Below are 22,975 nucleotides of genomic sequence, written 5' to 3'. Positions count from 1 at the left end.
AATTGCACATGTAAGTATTTAATCAGAATTATGATAAGTGGTATGAGAATTCTATTAAAATCTATACAAATAAATTTGGTAGACTGTGACCTGCAGGCCAAATCCTGCCCACAGCTTGTTTTTGTAAATAAAGTTTTATTATAACACAGCTATGCCCACTTGTTTCCATATTATATGTGGCTGCATTTGCACTGCAGTGGCAACTTGAGTAGTTGGAACGAGAGAGTGTCTTATCCACAAAACCTAAAATATTTACTATTTGGCTCTTTGCAGAAAAAGTTTGCCAATGCTTTTCTAAAAAGAGACTTGAATTAACCAATATGAGGAGCAACTAAGTCTCAATGGAAGTGATATTTGAGCTGAGATCTGCAGGATGAGTAGGATTTTGCCAAGAGATAGAGAGGCTTGTGCCAAGCAAAGGGAACAGCATATGTGAAGATGTAATTATCTGATGATTTCTTCTTGTCCACTTCCCAGAAAAGCCAAACACTGAAAACAGTAGGAGTTGTGGTAGAGAAGAGTTTAATAATTGCATAGACAGCCAAGTTGAAGGATGGAGGATGTTTCTTAAATCCACCTCCCCAGGAAATCAGAGACTAGAGTTTTTCAAGGATGCTTTGGCATGCAGGGGGCTAGGGAATAGGAAATGCTGATTGGTTTGGCTGGGGATGAAAACATGGGTTGAAGCTGTCTTCTTGTGTTGAGTCAACTCCTCAGAGATCACAGAACTGGTTGAGTTAGTTTCTTGGTATCAGTTACTGATCTGGGTAGTGCAAGCTGGTCCATCAGAATGCAAGGTCTGAAGAACACCTCAAATACCAGTCTTAGGGTTTACCATAATGATGTAATCTATCGGAGAAATTGGGGAGGTTACAAATCTTGTGACCTCTGGCTCCATGACTCCTGAACTATAATTCTAGCCTTGTGACAAATTTGTTATTTTTCCAAAGGCAGTTTCAATCTCCAAGCACGGACACAGTTAGTTTCAGGAGGGAGCTATTATCATTTTTGTTTTAAAGTTAGACTATAAGTTAGATTTCTGCCATAGTTAGCTTGGACTATGTCCAGGGATGAGCAAAGATAGATAGCTTGTGAGGTTGGAAACAAGATGAAGTCAGCTATGTCAGATTTCCCTCAGTGTCATAATTTTTCCAAAGGCAGTTTCAAAGCCACAGGGGAGGGAAGCTTGAAAATTATAAAAGAACCTAAAAGGATATCTGTGTGCCTGAAGTCCAGGCCATAAAAGAAAGTAGTGGCAATAGAATGAACATGTAGAGGTGGCCAGGTGCTATATTGGCAGTGCCTTGTGGTCCATGGTAAGAGTTGTGGACATTTATCCAGTGGTGAATGGGAAATGATTGATGGATTGAGTGACACTCAAACCATTGATACATTGAGTTACATGATCATCCTCTGTTTGGATGGTCATATTGGATGCTCAATAGGGAATGGGATGAGGAAGGCAATAGTGGAGTTGGAAATCTCAGATAAGAGGTGAACGGTTAGTGATGGCTTCAGTTTGGTTGAGGTAGTAGAGATGGAGATAAGTGGATTTAACAGGCAATTGGGGGGGAACTAATAACAGGGTTATTCAAAGAAGATGCGAGGGAGAGAGAGAGAAGTCAGACATTTCAGCAAGTGGGTGCTGTCTTTCACTGGAGTGAAGAGCACAGATATAGAAAGAGGTATGGGTATGTTAGGAAAATATGACAAGTTCAATTTGGGCATGTTGAGTCCAGGATGTCCATGTGATGTTCAAGAAGTGATAACAAGTTGGATTTAAGGCTCTAAAATTTGAGATGGAGACAGAAATTTGAGAATCATCAACTTTTATATTAAAAGGATGAGAAGTACAGTGGTATCAAAAAGAACCCCAAGAAACTCCAGCAACCTCTTTCACAAACTGCCGTTTCCACCTCTGCTTGCACACAGCCTAATCCCAACTAAAAGCTCCCACCCGCCGCATATTCTGGGGACAATGGGCTGAGCATGAGAGTGGGTAAAGAGAAAGACATGAATGCAGCCAGGAATTAGAAACTATCAGAGGCAACCAAACCAATTGCAGGAACTTGGAAGCCTGTGGAAAGAGAGAACAAGCCAGAGAGAAAGGTGACATACTGAAATTATAGCCAGAAGGAAAGGAGAACCCAGAGGAAGAGATGTGTCTACTGTTCTGTGTCTGTCTCAATTGACCACCATGGTAGAGAAACATTTGAGGATATTTACAGGTGTGCAGTGAGAATCCCAAAGTGTTGAGAGTGGGAAGAAAGTGAGCTAAGGTTAAAAGCTATTTAACAGGACGGGCATGTGGTTTAAGCTTCACAAATAATGAAACCTGTGTAGTTATTCTGTTCTTTTCTTTTTCTTTTATTTTTTTGAGATGGAGTCTCCCTCTGTAGTCCAGGCTGGAGTGCAGTGGTGCGATTTTGGCTCACTGCAACCTTTGCCTCCCAGGTTCAAGCAATCCTCCTGCGTCAGCCTCCTGAGTAGCTGGGATTACAGGCGTGTGCCACCAAGCCCAGATAATTTTTGTATTTTTAGTAAAGCTGGGGTTTCGCCATGTTGGCCAGGCTGGTCTTGAACTCTTGACCTCTAATAGTCTGCCCTCCTTGGCCTCCAAAAGTGCCAGGATTACAGGCATGAGCCACCATGCCTGGCCCTAAGTCTAGTTATTCTACAGAAGATTTTAAAAATCAAAGGAGTCTCATTAAAATAGTAAAGAAGAACAAGAATTTAGGAAAGTGATAATCATGGGATATATCTGTGCAAGGAATAAGTCTAATTTTTTAAGATAAATTGTACAGCATGCTAAACACAGCTAATAATTCAGTACTGTAAATTTCAGTATCATTAAGAGCAAAACTTTCTAATGTTCTCATCACAAAAAAAATGTTAAATACTTGAGGTGATGGATATGTGAATTAGCTTAATTTAATCATCTCACATTGTCTTCAAAAATTATAATACCGCTTTGTACCCAATAAATATATACAACTATACTTTGTGTGTACATAGATATGTAAAACTGAAGGCACTCTCATCTAAGAAAAATGCATTTAATGTCCCAGGGTTGAAATAAATTGCCAGGACCTAGAGCTATTGGTGTTTCAAGACCATGGACAGTTCCAAGTGCCTTTCCTCATGATTCTTTAATTATCATATGAGAGTTTTGAATACAGCGAACTCCTGTAGAAAATTTTTTTTGAGGGGTGAGAGTGGGTGAGGAGAATTGTATGTGTCTTAGACTGTCAACAGTGTGACATTAGCAATTCAATTTCTTTTCTTTGTCTCAGTAGGGCCCTTAAGACTCTGACAACCCAGGGAATCCTAGGTTTCATTCACTCCCTAGTCCTTAGTCCCCTTTTTTATTGACGTTCTCCATTGGTCATTACTTCCCCATCCTCTCCTTCCCCACTTGCTCCCTGCTTGATGTTTATCTCAGGCTTCTCTAGGGACAAAGAAAACCATCCTTTCCAATTCTCTAAATTGTTGGCTTCTTTAGGTCTCATCTTTATGCCTGGAACCATCCAGATGAAATCCACTGACATACTGTATAGGTTGCAGATGTCTAAGGCCAAGGCTATTGTTGCTGGGGATGAAGTCATCCAAGAAGTGGACACAGTGGCATCTGAATGTCCTTCTCTGAGAATTAAGCTACTGGTGTCTGAGAAAAGCTGCGATGGGTGGCTGAACTTCAAGAAACTACTAAAGTGAGTATCTACATGTCTCATCCTGGGTTTTAACTAAAACTGGAAACAGAGCCAAGCACTTAGGTGCAGGTGCTTTATTGAGGAGTTGCAGGAAGAACAGCATGGGACTAGGAAGAGTGAAGCTGGGAAGAAATAAAAGCTAATACAAGGGTTTTTTTTTTCAAGTCATTGCAAGGACTAAGTGGGGCTTGATCTGCCTGGACCTTCTGAGCAGCACATAGAATGCCTCCCAGGATTGTCCTCTAAAGGATTGAAAAGCACTGAATCATTAGCATCTGGTCCTCACAGGTTCAGGGTTGTCCTGGGGGTGTTATTGCCTCCACACTTCTGGGCTGCGCACTCATGCGTGAAGAGTGGGTCAGAGTTCCATGCTATGGTAAAACAGAGAAACTATGGGGCACAAAGTGAATCACTCGTGATGCACACTGGAAACAACATGGTGTTAACACCAAGTGGGTTGAAACCCACCCAGAACAATTTACTGGAACTATGACTCAAATCAGGGGTGAGGCCAAGGTCATGAGGGAAAACCCAAGAGATGGCTGATATACCAAGTTTCTAGGCTCTTCTTCCCACCTCTTGTATCTCTAAGAGAGGCTGATCAAGGTCAGAGGCCTTTCCATGTGTTGATAGCATGGAAAGACCTTGATAGTCCTTCCAAAAGCCGATAGCAAGACTGGCTGGATTAATGATTTTCTCTGTCAACATGTCTGAAATCCCTCTAGCGGGGGCACATATGATAGGAAACTTGAAGGGAAAACTTCAGCTTTTCCTTCCTAATGCCATGGTCTTTAAGGTAGCTGTCATGGAAATAAATAGCATCATGCCTGCTTTTAAAGGTTCAAAATCAAGACACTGGAGATGTCCAAGAGATATGTAGGTGCTTCCAGGGAATAGAAGAGAGTGCCAAGAAAGTACTTGGAAAACTCGTATTAATTCCACCCCTCCTGTCCACTTGGTGTCATGCCAGGGCTCTTCACAACAATTAGATTAGCATTTATTGAGCTCTTGCTAAGCAAGTTGCTCATTTCTTTGGTGGCAGAGTTAACTTTCTCAATAACTCTATAAGACTTGATCTCACTTTTTTGCAGATATAAAGTGAGACACAGAGAAGTTAAATAAGTAGTTTAAGGTTGCATTGATAACAAAGTGCCAAACTTGAGTAGTTTTCAAACCCAACTCTGATTGACTCAGGCTCCCATGATCTTAATCACTCAGCAGCCTCTCTTGTGAGGTGGGTCCATCAACTTGCCCTTTTCAGCACAGTGGGTGGTGGGAAAAGATGGGTCACTTTGATATCTGGTGTCCAGGCTAGATCTGAGAAAATGACAATCTGTGTCTTTGTCAGTGAGGCATCCACCACTCATCACTGTGTGGAGACTGGAAGCCAGGAAGCATCTGCCATCTACTTCACTAGTGGGACCAGTGGTCTTCCCAAGATGGCAGAACATTCCTACTCGAGCCTGGGCCTCAAGGCCAAGATGGATGCTGGGTAAGCTGAGCTCTTTCTCTCTACAGAGAATTGCATGACCAGGCATGAAGACGTTTCTGAGTTCAAATCCAATGCTCCTGGGCTGTGTCACCACCTTGTGGTTCTGAGAAAGAAAATTCAGAAGGAAAGCTAAAGAGGACATGGCTTCACATGCTGGGTATCAAGTACCTTCAATGGGACACATATTTTAGATAACACAGGGTCTCAAAACTTCTTCCATGTGTTAAGCCATGTGCCTAGCAGGGTGAATGATTAGCAAAAGGCTTACGTGCATTTCCCCAGGCTGATCTCTATGTTGTTCTTTGGGATGCTGGCAATTTGCTTTGATACCGCCCACACTCCAAGAGGGCAGTTTTTGTCGGCAGCAAATTACTTTGCAAATTGACTGAAGTGGAAGATATAATTGGATAAATTTGTGAACAAAGATCTCAGGATTTCTGGATCACAGACCCCATAGTTGAGCATTTTTTTCCCACTGATACATTAATCCCATTTGTGGAATCAGGAAACACTGTGCCAAGGTATTCAAGCAATGATATCTATAAATCATCAGAATTGTTTTAGTAGATCCCACCTTCCATGTTAATTTTATTATTAGAATGGGAAGATACATTAATGCAAAAAATGGAAAATGTAAATGTTCCATCTATGAGCCCATAGGGACAGAAAAATAAATAAGTTAGTAAAAATTATACAATAGAAGAGCTGCAGTAAAAGGCAGTTTCTAAAAGATGGGGATAAATTACTTAAATATAACTAAGATATTAAATTCCCCTTCCCCCAAAAAATTTGGTAGTGGTCTCATTTTTTGCAGATATAAAGTGAGACTTAGAGAAGTCTTGTACTATGACCTAATTTCCCTACAGAGCTGAAAGTATTAATCATCTTCAGGAAAGAAGATACACTATGGCAGTTCCCGTCACAAGGAAGTTGTTCATGTCTAGCTTAAATCATTCTTGCTTTAAGAAAGTCCTAAACCTTTTATTCTGCCCTGAAAAGAGAAAAGGGATGAGTTCACTTAGTGCAAGACCATCAGCTTTATGGGCAATTTGCAGTACTTAAAGAAAAGAGAAGCAAAGTTCTATTCAGCCAAACTTGAACTTGGCAAGGCATCTGTTAGAATATTTGCCATGCAGATGTCTTGTGTTAGTAAAATTTTCCTGGGTGGTTACCACATGCATGCCAGAAACTGTACGGAGTTTTGGAGTTAAGAGGAGAATGAGACCCAATTATATATTAAGTCATGTCAACTGGGGTCCCACCTTCCGAACATTCATCTCCTATCAATGCAGGATGTGTGGACAGAACAACTTTTCTTCCCCCTTCCTACTTATACTTAAACATATGCCTATAAACCTGCAGGCAGATACACGCACACCTCTGCACACACACCTCCCTTTCCTCCCCTACACCTTAGTGTCCCACGCATCCTAAGCATGCACCCACCTATATGTACATGTGTTTTGTCTGTGTTTTCAGTTGGACAGGCCTGCAAGCCTCTGATATAATGTGGACCATATCAGACACAGGTTGGATACTGAACATCTTGGGCTCACTTTTGGAATCTTGGACATTAGGAGCATGCACATTTGTTCATCTCTTGCCAAAGTTTGACCCACTGGTTATTCTAAAGGTAAGAGAGGATCCAGTTTGCAGCAGTTATTCAGAGTGAGCCCGAGGTTTGCACACTTCAATTTTTTGTAGTTTGTTTCAATTCATCTAATTTTTGCTAAACCTCTGCCATGTGGAGAACAGTGTTCAGTAAACGAGATGGAAATGGTCCCTGACCTCGCAGAGCTCATGTTCTGGGGTAGGAGACAGGCACATATATAGATAAAAGGAGTATGTTCAGGAGAAAGATATTGTAGGTCATTTGTTCACTCAACAAATGTAATGGGCTCTTCCACTGGTGTCACCTATCAGATAGATGCTGGTGAACCACATGTAAAAGGGAAAACTGGAGTATTGGAGGGGATGCCATCTCGCTCTCATGAGTGTGTGTGTGTGTTTGTGAGTGCACATTTCATTTCCTTTTTTATTTGCAGCATAACACACAAACTGAAGGTAAAGTGCACAGAGTGCCACCATCCTATGTGTACAGTTTGAAAATAATTTAGCTGTGTTAGATACTGTCTTAGTCAGCTTGGGCTACTATAATAAAATACCATAGTCTAGGTGGCTTAAATAACAGACATTTACTTCTCATAGCTCTGGAGGCTGTAAGTCTGAGATCAGGGTGCCAGCATAATTGGATTCCTGGGGAAGCCCTCTCTTCCTGGCTTGTTGATGGCTCCCTTACTGCTATATTCTCACATGGTTGAGAGAGACAGTGCTGGTATATCTTCCTTTTTAAAAATAAAGACACTCATGCTATCACTGGGGCACCTGCTTCATTATCTTTCATAATTACCCCTAAAAGCCCCACCTCCAAATACCATCAAGTTGAGGGTTAGAGCTTTAATATAGGGATTTAGGTGGGGACACAACATCCAATTCATATCAGACACCCCTGTAAACACCACCAGATAAAGACATGAAACATTCCCACCACTGCAGAAGGTGTTCATACCCCTTCTCTGACAGTATCTGCCCCCCATAAGTTAATCCTTCGTTTGATATCTATCACCATAGATTAATTTTATCTCTTCTTGCATTTCATGTAAATGGAACAACATTATATATAATCTTTTTCATTTGGCTTCTTTTACTCAAAATATTCTCTGTGAGATTAGTCCATGTGTTGCATGTATCAGATGTTTGTTCTTTTAGCTGGCTGCATAGTATTCCATTACGTGAATCTGTAAAAATGTTCCCCCATCCTATTGTTAATGAACTTTGGGTTATTTCCAATTTAAGATGATTTTCTAGAAGCAATTCGGAAGAATAAGTGGAATTTTTTCCTATAGAACTTGATGGTACAGCCATTAAATAAGACCCACAAACTGCAGCTATGCTTTATCCTGTAGCAACAAAGCAATGAAAATGACCTCATTTTGCTTATGAAGATACACCCTATGTTGGACTCTATGATAGAGGGGTTGGGTTATTTCCCTGCTGTGCCCCCAGATCTCTAATGGCCCATCCAGACATCTATTTGGCTGCAGCAAAGGTTCAAGCTAAGGCATAGATGACGTCTTCAAAAGTCAAAAAGCCAGGTGTGGTCTGGATTTTCATAGGAAATTATCTTCAAATAATACTGTCATTCTCTGTTTTAAGCAAATTCTTACTCTGTGTCCTTCTCAAAAGGATTTGAACTGGTTTTTAATAAGTTCCACCATTAAAAAAATGAAAACAGACATAAACTTATAAAGCCCATTAGGAAAATATAGGTTGGAGGTGTAGGGTGGAAAAGACTAAGGAAATTAAGGAGAAATATAGCAAATGAGTATGTAGTTGCAAGTTGAGCTTCTAGTAAGTCAAAGCAATAAGGAATATGGGATCATTTTCATAGCTTATATCTGTGTATCAAGCACATTTGAAGGAAATTATTGCATGATACTCACATTTGTCATTTTTTCTAGACATTTTGCTTAAACCATTGCCATGGTTTGAATATTTGTGCCCCCCAAAACTCATGATGAAACTTGTAAACCAAAAATAAAATCCTAAGGCCCCATCCTCCCAACCATCTGAATGGACTTCCTCCTCAGCCAGGGTTCTTTTAAAATTTAACCTGAGAGACTGTTTCAGGCCATGACAGGAAGTCGGAGTGGGACATGCCTCATTATACCTTTCTGGTATTAACATCAATATAGACTTTAAGTCTGATAAAAAAAAATTAAAACCTATTCTGTCTAAAAAGCCTAGTGTCAGTACCTAAAAGCTTCCTGTGCAAATAAGAACTTGGGTCTCCACAATTATTTATCTTAACTAAGGCATTCCTTTCTATTGATCCCAGGTCTTTAGATCAACTCAACCAATTGTCAACCAGAAAAAATTTAAATCTACCTATAAGCTGGAAGCCCCCGCTTCAAGTTGCCCCACCTTTCTGGACCAAACCAATGTATTTTTTAAATGTGTTTGATTGATGTCTTATGTCTCCCTAAAATGTATAAAACCAAAGTGCACCCTGACCACCTTGGGCACGTGTTCTCAGGACCTCCTGAGGGCTCTGTCATGGCCATGGTTACTCATGTTTGGCTCAGAATAAATCTCTTCAAATATTTTACAGAGTTTGGCTCCTTTCATCAACAAACTCAATCCCCAGTGTAACAGTAGTAAGCAGTGGGGCATTTAAGAGATGATTGGGCCTCATGAGGGATTAATGGATTAACAGTTTATCATGTTAGTGGGTTAGTTTTGGAGAGTGAGTCTGTTATACCAAAAGCCAGTTTTGCTCTACCTCATGAGCCCCTTTGCCATGTGATGCCCCGAACCTCCTTGGGACTCTGCAGAGTCCCCATCAGCAAGAAGGTTCTCACCAGATGCAGCTTCTTGACCTTGGACTTTCCAGCCCCTAGAACTGCAAGAAATAAATTTATTTTCTTCATAAATTACTCTGTCTCGGGTACTCAGTTATAACAACAGAAAACAGATTAAGACAATACTCTATTACATTCTGCATAAAGAAAAGCATGGGATGGAGATGGTGTTATATGACAGGAATACATGCTGCAAATAATGATCCCACTACTTGCTGACTAGGTGACCTTGGAGCAGCTACTTAACCTTGTACATCATGGGTTTCCCCTCTGTATCATGAGGATGATAGCGCACACTCCATGAGGTTATTGGAAAAATTAAATGAGGTAACACAGGACATGGCAAGTATTCAGTACTAGGTCTTTTTGTAGCACTTGTTTTGAAATGTCTATAGATGTCTTTAGCTTTTCAAAGAACTTTTATATCTAAAATATATCCCAAAAATATTTTCAGGAAAATAAGGCTGGAAACAATCTATTATAAAGCTGGCTACAGAAAGTTAAGGGACTCAACCAAGACAGCTGCTGTACTCAGGCAGCTGATCTTCCCTTGGTTGCTGGGGGGTGATATACTCCTAGGGGTGTGTTAATGAGGGCAAGTCTTAAACTGGCAGGAACAGACATCCAGGATTTGACAAAAATGTTTCAAATTAGCCTTAGACTTTTTCACTACAATAATATGTACTCATTTCCCTGTTATTTGTGCCTTCAGGGTGCATGAGAGTTGTGGGGCTCATTTAACTTGAATCAGACATAGTAAACAAGCTAGGGTTTTCATCCAGACCTCTACAACTCCATAGCTCACAATTGTAACCACTGTGCATAGCCATAAGTTGGCATTTGACCTGGTGACCAATGTCTCACCTGGCTCTTGTCTTCCAGACACTCTCCAGTTATCCAATCAAGAGTATGATGGGTGCCCCTATTGTTTACCGGATGTTGCTACAGCAGGATCTTTCCAGGTGATGGGGCTTTGAGGATTGGTAAGAGAGTCTGGCCCCATCCCCCTGACTCCCTCACATACATTCATGCCTATCTATCTGAATCTCTCGCACACAGAGAGCCCCATGAAGCCATTTGCATCATCAAAGCACCCAGAAACCAAGTCTAGGCCTGAGTGGACTTTGGTTCCAGGGAGGCTGAGGGCAAACATTTATTTCTCTTCTTCAGTTACAAGTTCCCCCATCTACAGAACTGCCTCGCTGGAGGGGAGTCCCTTCTTCCAGAAACTCTGGAGAACTGGAGGGCCCAGACAGGACTGGACATCCGAGAATTCTATGGCCAGACAGAAACGGTACCTGTTCCCAGGGGAACCATGGGCTGTGTGCACTTTTTGGGCTTCAAAATTCTCTTTGACAATAAAACATGTTAGCCACCATGTATCATTCATTTATTTGAGAAATATTTATTGAGCCTCTGTGAAGGGACAGGTACTGAGTATTGAAAATTCAGCACAGAACAAAAAAGGCAAAGTTCCTGTTTTCTGGGAGATTACATTCCAGTGAGATTTGGGGAGAGAGACAATAAACTAAGAAATATCTAGCATGGCAGGTGGTGAGAAATGCGATGGAAAAAGTAAAGTAGATGAGATGGGGTGAGAAGTTGGTAAATCACATATGGTAGTCAGAAAGTTCCTCTGTGATGGGGAAACATTTTAGCAGAGACCAAAGTTTATCAAACATGTCAAGCACTGTACAAAGCTGCTTAGACTGAAGTGAGGAATGGGAAGAAGAACCCACCATGGCTTTACTGCACCTCCTGACATATCTTCTTGGAACTCTTGAGGTCTCATGTGCACAATGTGGATTTATGCTATTCTATACTATTTTACTTATCAAAACTACATGGGGAATACTTTTCCCCAACTCTTCTTCTCCTTTTTCCAGTGCCTCTTACTTGTGACTCTCAGCACTTCTTGCCTCTTCCTCTCCACTCTCTTACCCTGCATCCTTCTTTAGCTAATGAGTACCCTTGGTAGAACTTTTGCAGAGTGTTGATGGCAGCTCTGTGGTATGAAAGAGCCAGGAAGAGCTCTGCAAATATGAATAAGGACAATGGAGTTGTGGCAAGCATACCCTGGCAGGGGCCTCCCACCATTCAGAGGAGGACATGTTTAGAATATGCTTACAAGGACACTCAGATTCCCATGATCTTAATCACTCAGCAGCCTCTCTTCTGAGGTGGGTCAATCAACTTGCCCTTTCCAGCACAGTGGGTGGCGGGAAAAGATGGGTCATTGTGACATCTGGTGTCCAGGCTAGATCTGAGAAAATGACAATCTGTGTCTCTGTCAGTGAGGCATCCACCACTCATCTGTTATTCTGTTGGGAAGGTTCATTTCAGGGTTCAAGCAGAACTGGTGCTGCCATGGGAGATACTTTAAAAAGTATATTTTACTGCTTGAGGAAATGGATACCTCAGTCTTCATGATGTGATTATTTCATATTGCATGCCTGTATCAAAACATCTCATATATCCCATAAATAGATACACCACAAAAATTCAAAATAAAAATAAAAGTAAGTATATTTTAGGTCTTACAGATTGCATATTGGTGATTCCATATAGTTTGCAAGGGCTTTGGGTATCCATAGCGTCGTATTAAAATGTGACTCCCCCTAAAAGAGATTATAATGTGATTGTTAGGTCCTCTTCCTGGGGAGTGGTAGATGGGTTGCTTCCTGAACAAACAATTTAGTGAGGCCCCTAGGATTGTGATTCCAGTAATGGGGAGAGAGCCAGGGAATGAGGAGCAGGGGGAGCCACCAAGTGCAGGCCAAGTTCAGGACAGTGTCAGGACCCGCTCTGCAGAAATTTTTTCTTTTTCTGTGACCTTGTACCTCCTCCTGAGGTTTGCTGATCTGTCTGCTTCTTTCCACAGGGATTAACTTGCATGGTTTCCAAGACAATGAAAATCAAACCAGGATACATGGGAACGGCTGCTTCCTGTTATGATGTACAGGTTTGCTCGGGACACTGAGGAGGGAGGAAGTTAGGGGAAACACTGATTTTCAGTAATTTATGTTTTCCATTGTTTATTGAGTCAAAAATAATAGAAAGTACTGATATTAAGATAATATCAGAAAAAAGGGACGGAGGGAGGTTAGGGGGAAGGAGAGAGTGAGGGAAGGAAGGAGGAAAAGGAGAAATGATTTATATTCTTACCATCCAGAAGGACTCACTTTGAATATCTAGCAAATTAGCTAGACAGTATACAAGTATATATGCTTTAAAAACAAAAATGGGGTGAATCTTGACATAATATTTTGTAACTAGCTTTTATCATTTAACAATATAGGTAACGATCTTTTCAGTTCAATTAATGCCAACCTGCAGCATGATTTTTAATGATGATATAGTATTAAATAGTATGTATCCACTGCTGTTTATGCCTTTTATCGGACCAAGGGATGATGTCCCAGTTTTCACTAGTAAAAATACACTATAATGAATGTGTAGTAGCTAAAGTTTTATTGCTTTCTCTTGTTGTTTTTTGAGAACTAGAATTTGTGTTTGTGTATCTGTGTTATGTGTATAGTTCTGTATATCTAAAGTGTAACTTAGACGCTATTCAGTGTCATATCCAGTTACTTGCCATGCCATTCACTATGATAACCATTTGCTAAGCCCCTTTCTTAGTATCTTATTTCATTCCTATAAAAATCCTGTGAAATAAGCTGTCAGTATCTCTGTTTTATGGGTGAAAGCACTGAAGCAAAGAGTTTAAGTAGTTCAAAGTCAGCTAGTAAGGTAGCAGAGTAAATTTGAGTTTTGATCTGCCCGATTTCTAAGTCCACAGGTGAGGTAGGTCTCAAAGGTAAGAGGAGGCTATTATTTTATCTGAGCTCCTAGAGCCAAAAGCATCTCCCCAGGCTCATCTGGGCCAGTCTCAATAAAAGGATTCACCTAAACTATTCCAGGCAGGTGGATCAGAGATCTGAGTTTAAGACTCTTGGGTTCCCTTGGTTTTTGGTTGTCGTTTTCAGTCTCCACTAGAGCAAGAGAGTCTTTCATTTGACCAACTCAGCAATCTCCTGCTGCCATTGAAGCCATCTCCTGCTGTGTGCGTCATTCTTCCAATATGCTTCTTTCTCCAGGTTATAGATGATAAGGGCAACGTCCTGCCCCCCGGCACAGAAGGAGACATTGGCATCAGGGTCAAACCCATCAGGCCTATAGGCATCTTCTCTGGCTATGTGGTGAGAAACTGTGCTTCTCCTCCTCTGTTCCCCAGTGAGGATGGGAGCACTAAACGGGATGAGGGAGGACAAATGTTCTGAAACTTCCAAGAGGCATTAGATATGGAGACAAAGAGTGTCCAGTTTTCAAGAATGTATGCTTTGCCAGTGGAAGAAAAGTGGCTATTCAGCCTTGCCATCCTCAGCCTATCACTGTGATCTCATTGGAAGACTTATTTTTCTTCAGTTAGCCCTTAGACTCCTCAAGAACTCTCTGTTTCATGCCCAAAATATTATTGACCCTGAACTATACACAGCACCATTCCCCCAAGGGCTGCCTTTCCCTCTCCCCTAGGTATCATCCCCATGATCTATGCCGTTGATCTTCTTTAGAGCCATGCCAGGCACTTTACGTTGAGACTTCACCATCTAGTTGGAGGAATCCCTATCTTCAGATCTTGGGAAGGTAAAGACAGATAATCCTTGAATCTGGCCACCTCACTTGACAGGTGAGGATGGTGGAGCCAGAGATTACAAGACTTGCTCAAGCTCACAACCATTAGAAAGTGGACAGAGAAGAACCCAAGGGCATGCCTTCTGATCCCTGAGATAATTGACTAATAAACTAAATAAATAATAAATCAAATAATAATAGTTTCTACCATTTATTGAATGCATACCATGAGGCAAGCATTGTTGTATAAACACATTTAATTTTTAAACTTTAAACTCATTTAAACTTTCAACTCGTTTAATCCTCCCAGCCACCCTATAAAGTTTTTGGACTCAGATTGCTCGAGTTCAAAACCCTGCTCTACTATGTATAGCGTGATCTTAGGGAAGTTACCTATCTGTCATGTCTCAGTTTCCTCATCTGTAAGTTGTGTGTCGTGAGTGTGTTAAATAAAAGAATTGTTGTAGATCCAAATGATTATTCCTATTATACAGATGAGGAAAACTGAGCTTCAGCGATCAGGGCAGAGCCACACTGTCCCCTTCTCCAAGCATTTCCTTTGTGAGGTCCCACTATATTCTCAAATGCCAGTGAAGTACTATGTCATGGGCTTCTCCCCATTTGATAAAAAAGGAAACAGACTCAGAAGCGTCTGTGGGGCAGATTCCTAAGGCCACAGAGGCTCCATGATGCCCATGAGAAAGTCAATCCAGTAGCCAAGAACCCTGGCTTCTGGTCTCAGTTCTACCTTCTGTAATGGCTGTTTAGCTTCAGACTAAACTCTTGATGTCTCTGATCATCAGTATCCCTATATTCCCAATGATGGAGTGAGGCTAAGAATTCTTTATGCCACCATATATAATCCAGTAACTGAACTTCCAGTCTGGAGCCCATGCCCCTATACCTGAGTCAGATAGGAAGATGCACTGACAAGGGATAAAGCTCAAGCCTTTTCATTACTTATAAGCAAGTGCCTCAGCTGAATAGAGGGACCCAGCTATTGTAGAAATATGCACATTAGCCAGGGTCCCAGGGGGCTTCCTGGCTAATGTCTCTAGAACTTTCAAATTTACAAAGAAGCTAAGAAAAGTACCTAATCAAAATGATAGCTTTGAGTGGTGCTATGGAGTGAACAGAGATTAGGATATCTATGAAAGGAGAGATGGAATCAATTGGGGAAAATGCCCTAAGCATGGATGAATGAATACATCAATAATATCCATCAGACTGGACCTAGAGGAGTAGCTGAGACACCCTGGGTGGAATAACTTCAATAAATGGGAAAAATCCAGTTCTGCCTGTGGCCTAGGGTTGGCTGGTTCAGGGCATGTCTGCCATGTTCAGGTTATACACTGCACACCTGCAGTTTTAATAAGACTCATAGCATTTGTTCATGGCAGCCCCAGGGCAGGGGATTTAGGCTTTGCAGGCACAATGACTCTGTCTTTCTGTGGTCACCAGGAAAATCCCGACAAGACAGCAGCCAACATTCGAGGAGACTTTTGGCTCCTTGGAGACCGGGGAATCAAAGATGAAGATGGGTATTTCCAGTTTATGGGACGGGCAGATGATATCATTAACTCCAGCGGGTGAGCTTGGTTTCTGGGTTGGGAAGGGAAATCTGGGTCTTTACTCTGGCTGGTTCCAGACTTCCGGAATGGCCTAGAGGTTCGGTGTCCAGTGTTCTCTGAAGGACAGGTTCTTCTGCAGGTACCGGATTGGACCCTCGGAGGTAGAGAATGCACTGATGAAGCACCCTGCTGTGGTTGAGACGGCTGTGATCAGCAGCCCAGACCCCGTCCGAGGAGAGGTGATGGGGAAGCAGTAGCCTGGGGGTGAACAGATATGAACACAAGGGCAGTGTAGTATGATGGTTTAAGAACAGGGACTGTGGGGCTGAACACTCTGAGACCCAATCTTGGCCCTGCCACTTACTAGCTATGTGACCTTGGGTAAGCTACTTGGCCTCTCTGTTTCTCAGTTTCTTCATCTGTAAGATGAGGGATTGTTATGAGGGTTAAATGTGCTAATATTTGTAAAGTACTTAAGTATGGTGATTTCTCAAAAAACTAAACAGAACTACCATATGATCCAGCAATCCCACTACTGGGTATTTATCCAAAGGAAAAGAAATCAGCATATCAAAAAGATGTCTACACTCCCATGTTAATTGCAGCACTATTCACAATACGAAGATATGGGATCAACCTAAGTATCCAATGGATGAAAGGATAAATAATATGTGGTATATATACACAATGGAATACTATTTGGCATTAAAAAAGAGTGAAATCATGTCATCTGCAGCAACATGGAGAGAACTGGAGGTCATTATGTTAACTGAAGTAAGCCAGGCACAGAAAATAAATATCACGTGTTTGCACTCATAAGTAAGAGCTAAAATAGCTGATCTCATGGAGATAAAGAGTAGAGTGATAGATACCAGAGGCTGGGAAGGGTGTGTGGGTGGGGAAGTGGGGGATGAAGGGAGGTTGGTGAATGGGTAGAAGCATACAGTTAGCAGCAATAAGTTCGAATGTTCAATAGCAGAGTAGGGTGACTATAGTTAACAACCATGTATTGTATATTTCAAAATAGCTAGAAGAGAGGACTTGAAATGTTCTCAACACACACAAATTATAAATACTCAAGGTGATGGACACCCCAAGTATCCTAACTTGATAATTACCATATTTGCGTGTAACAAAATGTCACTTGTACCCAATACATATGTACAAATATTATGAAATGATAAAAACTTTTAGAAAGTAAAGTGCTTGGTTGGGAGGCTGAGGCAGATGGATCACGAGGTCAGGAGTCCAAGACCAGCCTGGCCAAGATGGTGAAACCCCATCTCTACTAAAAATACAAAAATTGGCCAGGCACGGTGGCAGGCATCTGTAATCCCAGCTACTCAAGAGGCTGCGGCAGGAGAATCACATGAACCCGGGGGGCGGAGTTTGCAGTGAGCCGAGATCGCGCCTCTGCACTCTAGCCTGGGTGACAGAGTGAGACTCTGTCTCAAAAAAAAAAAAAAAAAAAGAAAGAAAAAGAAAAAGAAAGGAAAAAAGAAAGTGAAGTGCTTGGAACAAGGCCTAGCACATAGTAAGTACTATATAATGTCTATTTTGATGAGGCTGGAAGGATTCTATCCTGCTGTTTGATATTTGAATCAGAGTCTTATTCCTGACCAGAAGCACAGAGGAGGGATTTGAGCCAAAGGATAGAGCCCCTGTGCCACAGAGTTCACAGTGAAAATAAAGGGAAAAAGAAAGACCCCTATAAAGCCAGGGTTATAGAAATAGGCTCAGATGGGGTCTAGTGGACTTTGATGTGTGTGTAGGAAAATATTAAGGTGGGATGTGTGGATCAGTGTCCTAGCACATTCCCGCAGGGTGTAAGCCTGGCACTATCATACCTCTGGTACGTACAGAACACATCACACAGAAAATTATGGGAACCACTGAGCAGTGAGGCCAAGGGTGATCCCCTGCTGAGAAAACCCTGTGTGCCCAGCTCTGAGCTAGCCCTGCTGTATATGATTTCATTTTAGTTACCATAAGTTGAATTTGGCTATTTTATCCCCATTTTGCAGACGGGAACACTGAAGTTTGGAGAAGTTAACACATTGTTTAGGGTTATGGTTTTCAGTCTATTTTTCTCTTTTCTCCCCCTGTATCTTCTTTCTCCTCATCTGTCTCTGTTGTCCTTGGAGCATGAGGTGAGCCTGGTCTCAATCTATTGTCCACCTGCTCCTCCAATAAACGACTTCAGAGAGAGCTGGAACCTCATTCTTGTCCCCAGTTTCTCCCTTTCCCTTGACCTGGATCACCGGGGGTGCAAATGAGTAGATACAAGGGTGATGCAAGTCTTAATGCTAATTTCACATTATTCCAGGAGATGACTACACACTCTAATCCCTTATCTCTTGGCCTTCATCTATTTTGCAGGTGGTGAAGGCATTTGTGATCCTGGCCTCGCAGTTCCTATCCCATGACCCAGAACAGCTCACCAAGGAGCTGCAGCAGCATGTGAAGTCAGTGACAGCCCCATACAAGTACCCAAGAAAGGTAAGGCCTTTGAGCTCCCAAGTCACTCAAACTTGAGAAATAGATTGTTTTCCTGTTATATTTATCTTCTTCAGGAGGAGGACAGCCTTCTAATTTTAAAAAGTCTTCCTGGGCCGGACATGGTGGCTGACACCTGCAATCCCAGCACTTTGGAAGGCCAAGGCGGGTGGATCACCTGAGGGCAGGAGTTCAAGACCAGCCTGGCCAAAATGGTGAAACCCCGTCTCTACCCAAAATGCAAAAATTAGCCTGGTGTAGTGGCATGTGCCTGTAATCCCAGCTACTCAGGAGGCTGAGGCATGAGAATCGCTCGAATCTGGGAGGTGTAGGTTACAGTGAGCCGAGATCATGCCACTGCACTCCAGCCTAAGTGACAGAGTGAGACCCTGTCTCAAAAAAAAAACCAAACAAACAAACAAAAAAAAAAAACAAAAAAAAAACAACTCTTCCTATGCTCAAGAAAGCCCAGAAAGACAATCTAGCAACTATCTTGATGCCTGAAAAATGACCTCAGCTTTTGACTCACTCTGAATCAAAAGCCAAATGCTGTCAAGGGAATAAGTTCTAGCCAGTATCTTACCTGTATTCCCATTCTCTGCACTGGGTTCTTGCTATAGTATTCAGGGTTGTGCAACGCTCAGTTGCAAGTGACAGAAATCTAGCTTGACATTTATTGCTCATGCAATTGAAAAGTCCTGGGGTGAAGAAAGCTTTCATTATGGCTAGTCCCAGGCATTCCTAGGATGTGGTCAGGTGTCTCTCTTTCACCCTTTGACTCTCTTTCCTTTGTAGTGGCTTGATTTCTTGGAATGCTTTTTCTTTGTGGCTCTGTCAGCTCCAAACATATATTCTCAGCAGCTTAGAAAACTCCAGTAGAAAATGAGCATGTTTTTCTCCAAAGGCCTCAACAAAATTCTCTGGGTTGACTCTCACTGGACCAACTTGGGCCATGTGTCCATTGCTAAATGAATCCCTGTAGCCAGGCCAATGTCACACTGATTAGCCAAGTCATCCTCAGAGAAAGTGCAGGGGGGATGGGGGAGAGAGCTCCCCTACCCCATGACATGGACTGAGAGGGAGGGGTGGCTCCCCACAGGAAAAGGGAAGTGTTCTTACGAGAAAAGACAAAAGCATAGTTTTCAGCTTCTTTCATTCTGGGACAGAGAACTGAGGCACAGAGGTTGACAAGGCAGGAGAACCCAGTTATTGGATTTGGGTCCCAGATAGGAGCTTGTCCCAGAGAAAGAAAAAAAATTGAGTCTAGGGTAGAAGGTGAGAGCAACTATGCTGAGCTTAGAGTCCCTTAGATTCTTATGTAGCCCAGATGCCACCTGCCTTTCCTCAGCACAGGCTAATTGTCATAGGTCTTCTGAGAAGCAGGCCATGGGGAAAGAGGTTACCACGCAAGAGGCTTATTAGGGAGTGTTTTGGAATCAACCCCTGGGGGAAGGGAGAGGAAGGGAAAGAAAGGAGCAGAACTGAGCAGACGGTGAGGTTGCACTGTGACTTAGTCTCAATGGGAACTCCAGCCAATCCCATGGGAGTTCTGGAGCTAGTATAACCTTTCAGTGTTGTCCTAAGGCAAGGTGAGGAAGGGAAGGGGGTCTTTACGGTCACAGGTGGATCAGGTATGGATGTAGGCTGCCCTGGGAAGGAGTGTGACCTTGGACAAGACAGCTGTCTTTGGCTGAGGCAATCCCCACAGGGGTCTGGTGGTGGAGTGGGACTTCTTTGTCCCTGGAGGAGGATCTTAGCTGCATATCAGAGTCCACCACATGGACTTGCAGCCTCTGAGAGTGAGGCAGCATAGCACAGTCTCAGGAATCAGACTGTCGGGTTCAACATTCACCTCCACCACTTACTCGATAACCTCTGCGTTCCTCAGTTTCCTTATTTGCAAAATGAGAATAATGCTGAACGTTTAAGTATAACTGAATATTGTAGAATGCTGAGTCAAGGAGTCCTATCACACAGTGTGCAGTGTCTTACTCAAATATCTCAATAGATGTGTCTCTTTCTGCAAGTCTCTCCTCTAGAATTCTCAAGGCAGCAGATTATTTGCACCCTCCCCCTCCTTTCACCAACTACATCCAGTCCTTTCTACTTCTCTCTTCATGACAAACAGAGTAGCTTCCTTCTTAGCATTAAATCTGGATACCTCCTGTGGCTTTCATCCACTCTCTATCTACCCTTTGGGGCCCAAATAGTAAATATTGTAGGCTATGTGGTCTATGTTGCAACTACTCAACTTTGCCCAGGCAATGCTAAAGGTTGACAGTTTCTAAATGCATGGGTATGACTGTTTCAATTAAACTTTATTGACAGAAACAGGAAGTGGGCTGTATTTTGCCTGCGGGCCATAGTTTGCTGACCTCTGCTCCATTTCATTGTGTTTTGAATAAACTCTTCTCCACAAAGTCAGTCTTGACTTATAGAAGAATTCTTATATCAGCCACTAAGAAGATACTTTCTCCATCTCAGTATCCCTATTATTAAATTAAAGTTAATAAAGCGTTAATTTTTATTAAATTCGAGACCATCTGAAGCTTAAATCAATGCCATGGCAACTGAGCCACATCACTGGAAGCCTCAATGAGGCGTCTTTATCATCCATATCTTTGGATTTGGGAATATTAGAGATAGAGGATCCTCAACTTCAAACATTCCTTTTAACAAGAGCAAATAGTGAAATTGGAGAGATATTATAATTTTGCTTAGGGTACATTGATAGGAAATGATTGATGTGGAATTCAAAATGAGGTATCCTAATTCTTAAATGTCTTACATGTCTAAAGACCTCAGATTAATCCAGATTAATAACCACAGCTATTATTTTTCAGTGGTTACTCCATACCAATAACTTAGCCTGCATAATCTCCTTTGGTCCATGTAATCACCCAATGAAGTTGCTATTATCCTCCATCTTACTCAGTGGGAAAACTGAGTCTTAGCAAAGCCAAGGACCTGGCGAAAGCCAGATGATTGGCAGAGGAGGAGCTGGGGTCCAGAGAGTCTGATGTCAAGGCTCAGCTGGCTGACTGTTGTGCCATGTGTGTCTGTTATGCTGCTCCTCCTCTGTCTGAAAATATGTCAAATACCTTTATGCCCAATTCTAGCCATCCTCTTATTGTCCTCATCCCAGAGCACCTTCTGAAGCTTCTTATTGCACAGGGCGGCTACCCTGAAGTGGCTCCAGCCTGAAGAACTTCCCCTCACCCTACAGCAGTTCTGAAAAATGCAACCCACTGTCATCACAGATCACCCACCCTGGACTGATTTGTTTTTCAACAGATAGAGTTTGTCTTGAACCTGCCCAAGACTGTCACAGGGAAAATTCAACGAACCAAACTTCGAGACAAGGAGTGGAAGATGTCCGGAAAAGCCCGTGCGCAGTGAGGCGTCTAGGAGACATTCATTTGGATTCCCCTCTTCTTTCTCTTTCTTTTCCCTTTGGGCCCTTGGCCTTACTATGATGATATGAGATTCTTTATGAAAGAACATGAATGTAAGTTTTGTCTTGCCCTGGTTATTAGCACAAAACATTACTATGTTAGATATTGAAATAAGAAAGGGAAGGAATGAGAGAGAGTGAAAAGGAGAGGGTAACAGAAAAAGAGGAAAGAAAAGTAAGTCAGGGAAATGTTAAAAACTGCAAGAGAAAGCAATTGAAAAAGAAATAAAGTAGGGAGGGAAGGCGAGAGGAAGCAAGGGAAGGAGGAAGAAAGGAAAGAGGAGATGAAAGGGGGAGAAAAGATAGAAGAAAAATAATTGAAGGGAGAATCAGAAAAATAAAGAGAAGAAAGGAAAGAAATAAAGAGAGAAAGAGAAAGAAGAAAGAGCAAAAGAACACAAGAAAGAAAGAGAGGGAGAAAGAGAGGGAGAAAGGGAGAGAAAAAAATTGTAAAAATAAAAATAGTAAAAGAAACTGATAAAGAAAAGTCATGGAAGACAGGAAGAAAGGAAGAGAGGGAAGTAAAGAGGAAAACCTATAAATATTCCCACAGATAGACAAAGTCAAGCATAAAACTGGAGCTTGAGAAGGAAATGAAAGGAAAAGAAGTGGTACTTTCTTTTACCCTAGGAGAAGACCTCCATACAGGAAGACTTGTGTGTGGGGCTGGGACATTAGAATCATCCGCAAGTCACTCCAAACCTTGAAACTGTCAGGGTCAGAGGGGAACCACCATTTATTAAGCATTTGCCATGTGCCAGGCACTGACCCAGACACATTATAAATACCACATTGTTTCACCTGTGTGTGGCATCTACAGACCTTAGATCATAGCTGTGAGAACAAAGTAAGCACTGCCAAAGTTATCAGCTACCCATACCTCATGTTTTTGGTGTTATCTACTCTTCCTAGAATCAAATATTAAAATAATTTTAAAACCAAGATCCTGACAATAGTCTTTAGGAAAAACAAAAAAAGACAGGGATGAGGTAAGTGTATGTTTGCAACAGCTTGTGAGTTGGGGAATCCATGGAGAGAGATTGGGGAGGTGGTTTTGTTGAAAGAACAACCAGCACCTCAATTCCTGGGGCTTCTGGGACACCAGATCTATGGTCCAGGAGATGGAGAGAGGTGAGCACTATGAGGACTTCACCTACAACCCAGAGATGGAGGATGAATGTTCCTAGCAATTTCAAGTA

The 22,975-nt window shown here is 42.0% G+C and overlaps 1 protein-coding gene across 6 annotated transcripts in view; it reads left to right on the top strand.

The window, feature by feature from the left end:
• ACSM2B (acyl-CoA synthetase medium chain family member 2B) overlaps positions 1-22,753 on the top strand; it is a 40,142-nt gene extending 17,389 nt beyond the window's left edge. For 3 of the 6 annotated variants that reach the window (NM_001410902.1, NM_001105069.2, NM_182617.4), the window contains 11 exons: positions 3,503-3,710; positions 5,059-5,202; positions 6,682-6,835; positions 10,506-10,585; positions 10,794-10,917; positions 12,505-12,585; positions 13,721-13,822; positions 15,717-15,844; positions 15,966-16,065; positions 18,206-18,325; positions 21,617-22,753. In NM_001410902.1, coding sequence (NP_001397831.1) covers positions 3,503-3,710; positions 5,059-5,202; positions 6,682-6,835; positions 10,506-10,585; positions 10,794-10,917; positions 12,505-12,585; positions 13,721-13,822; positions 15,717-15,844; positions 15,966-16,065; positions 18,206-18,325; positions 21,617-21,721 — 1,346 coding nt within the window. In that variant the 3' untranslated portion in view covers positions 21,722-22,753. Of the gene's footprint in view, positions 1-3,502; positions 3,711-5,058; positions 5,203-6,681; positions 6,836-9,100; positions 9,368-10,505; positions 10,607-10,793; positions 10,918-12,504; positions 12,586-13,720; positions 13,823-14,156; positions 14,268-15,716; positions 15,845-15,965; positions 16,066-18,205; positions 18,326-21,616 lie in introns of those variants that run through there. The other 3 variants (XR_001751899.3, XM_047434056.1, XM_017023205.3) reach the window with 3 other exon arrangements.
• Positions 22,754-22,975: the final 222 nt, after the last annotated feature.

Source organism: Homo sapiens, chromosome 16 (genome assembly GCF_000001405.40).
Source record: "Homo sapiens chromosome 16, GRCh38.p14 Primary Assembly".
NCBI lineage: Eukaryota > Metazoa > Chordata > Mammalia > Primates > Hominidae > Homo > Homo sapiens.
Note: the sequence above shows the minus strand (reverse complement) of the source record. Positions and strands in the feature narration are given on the sequence as shown.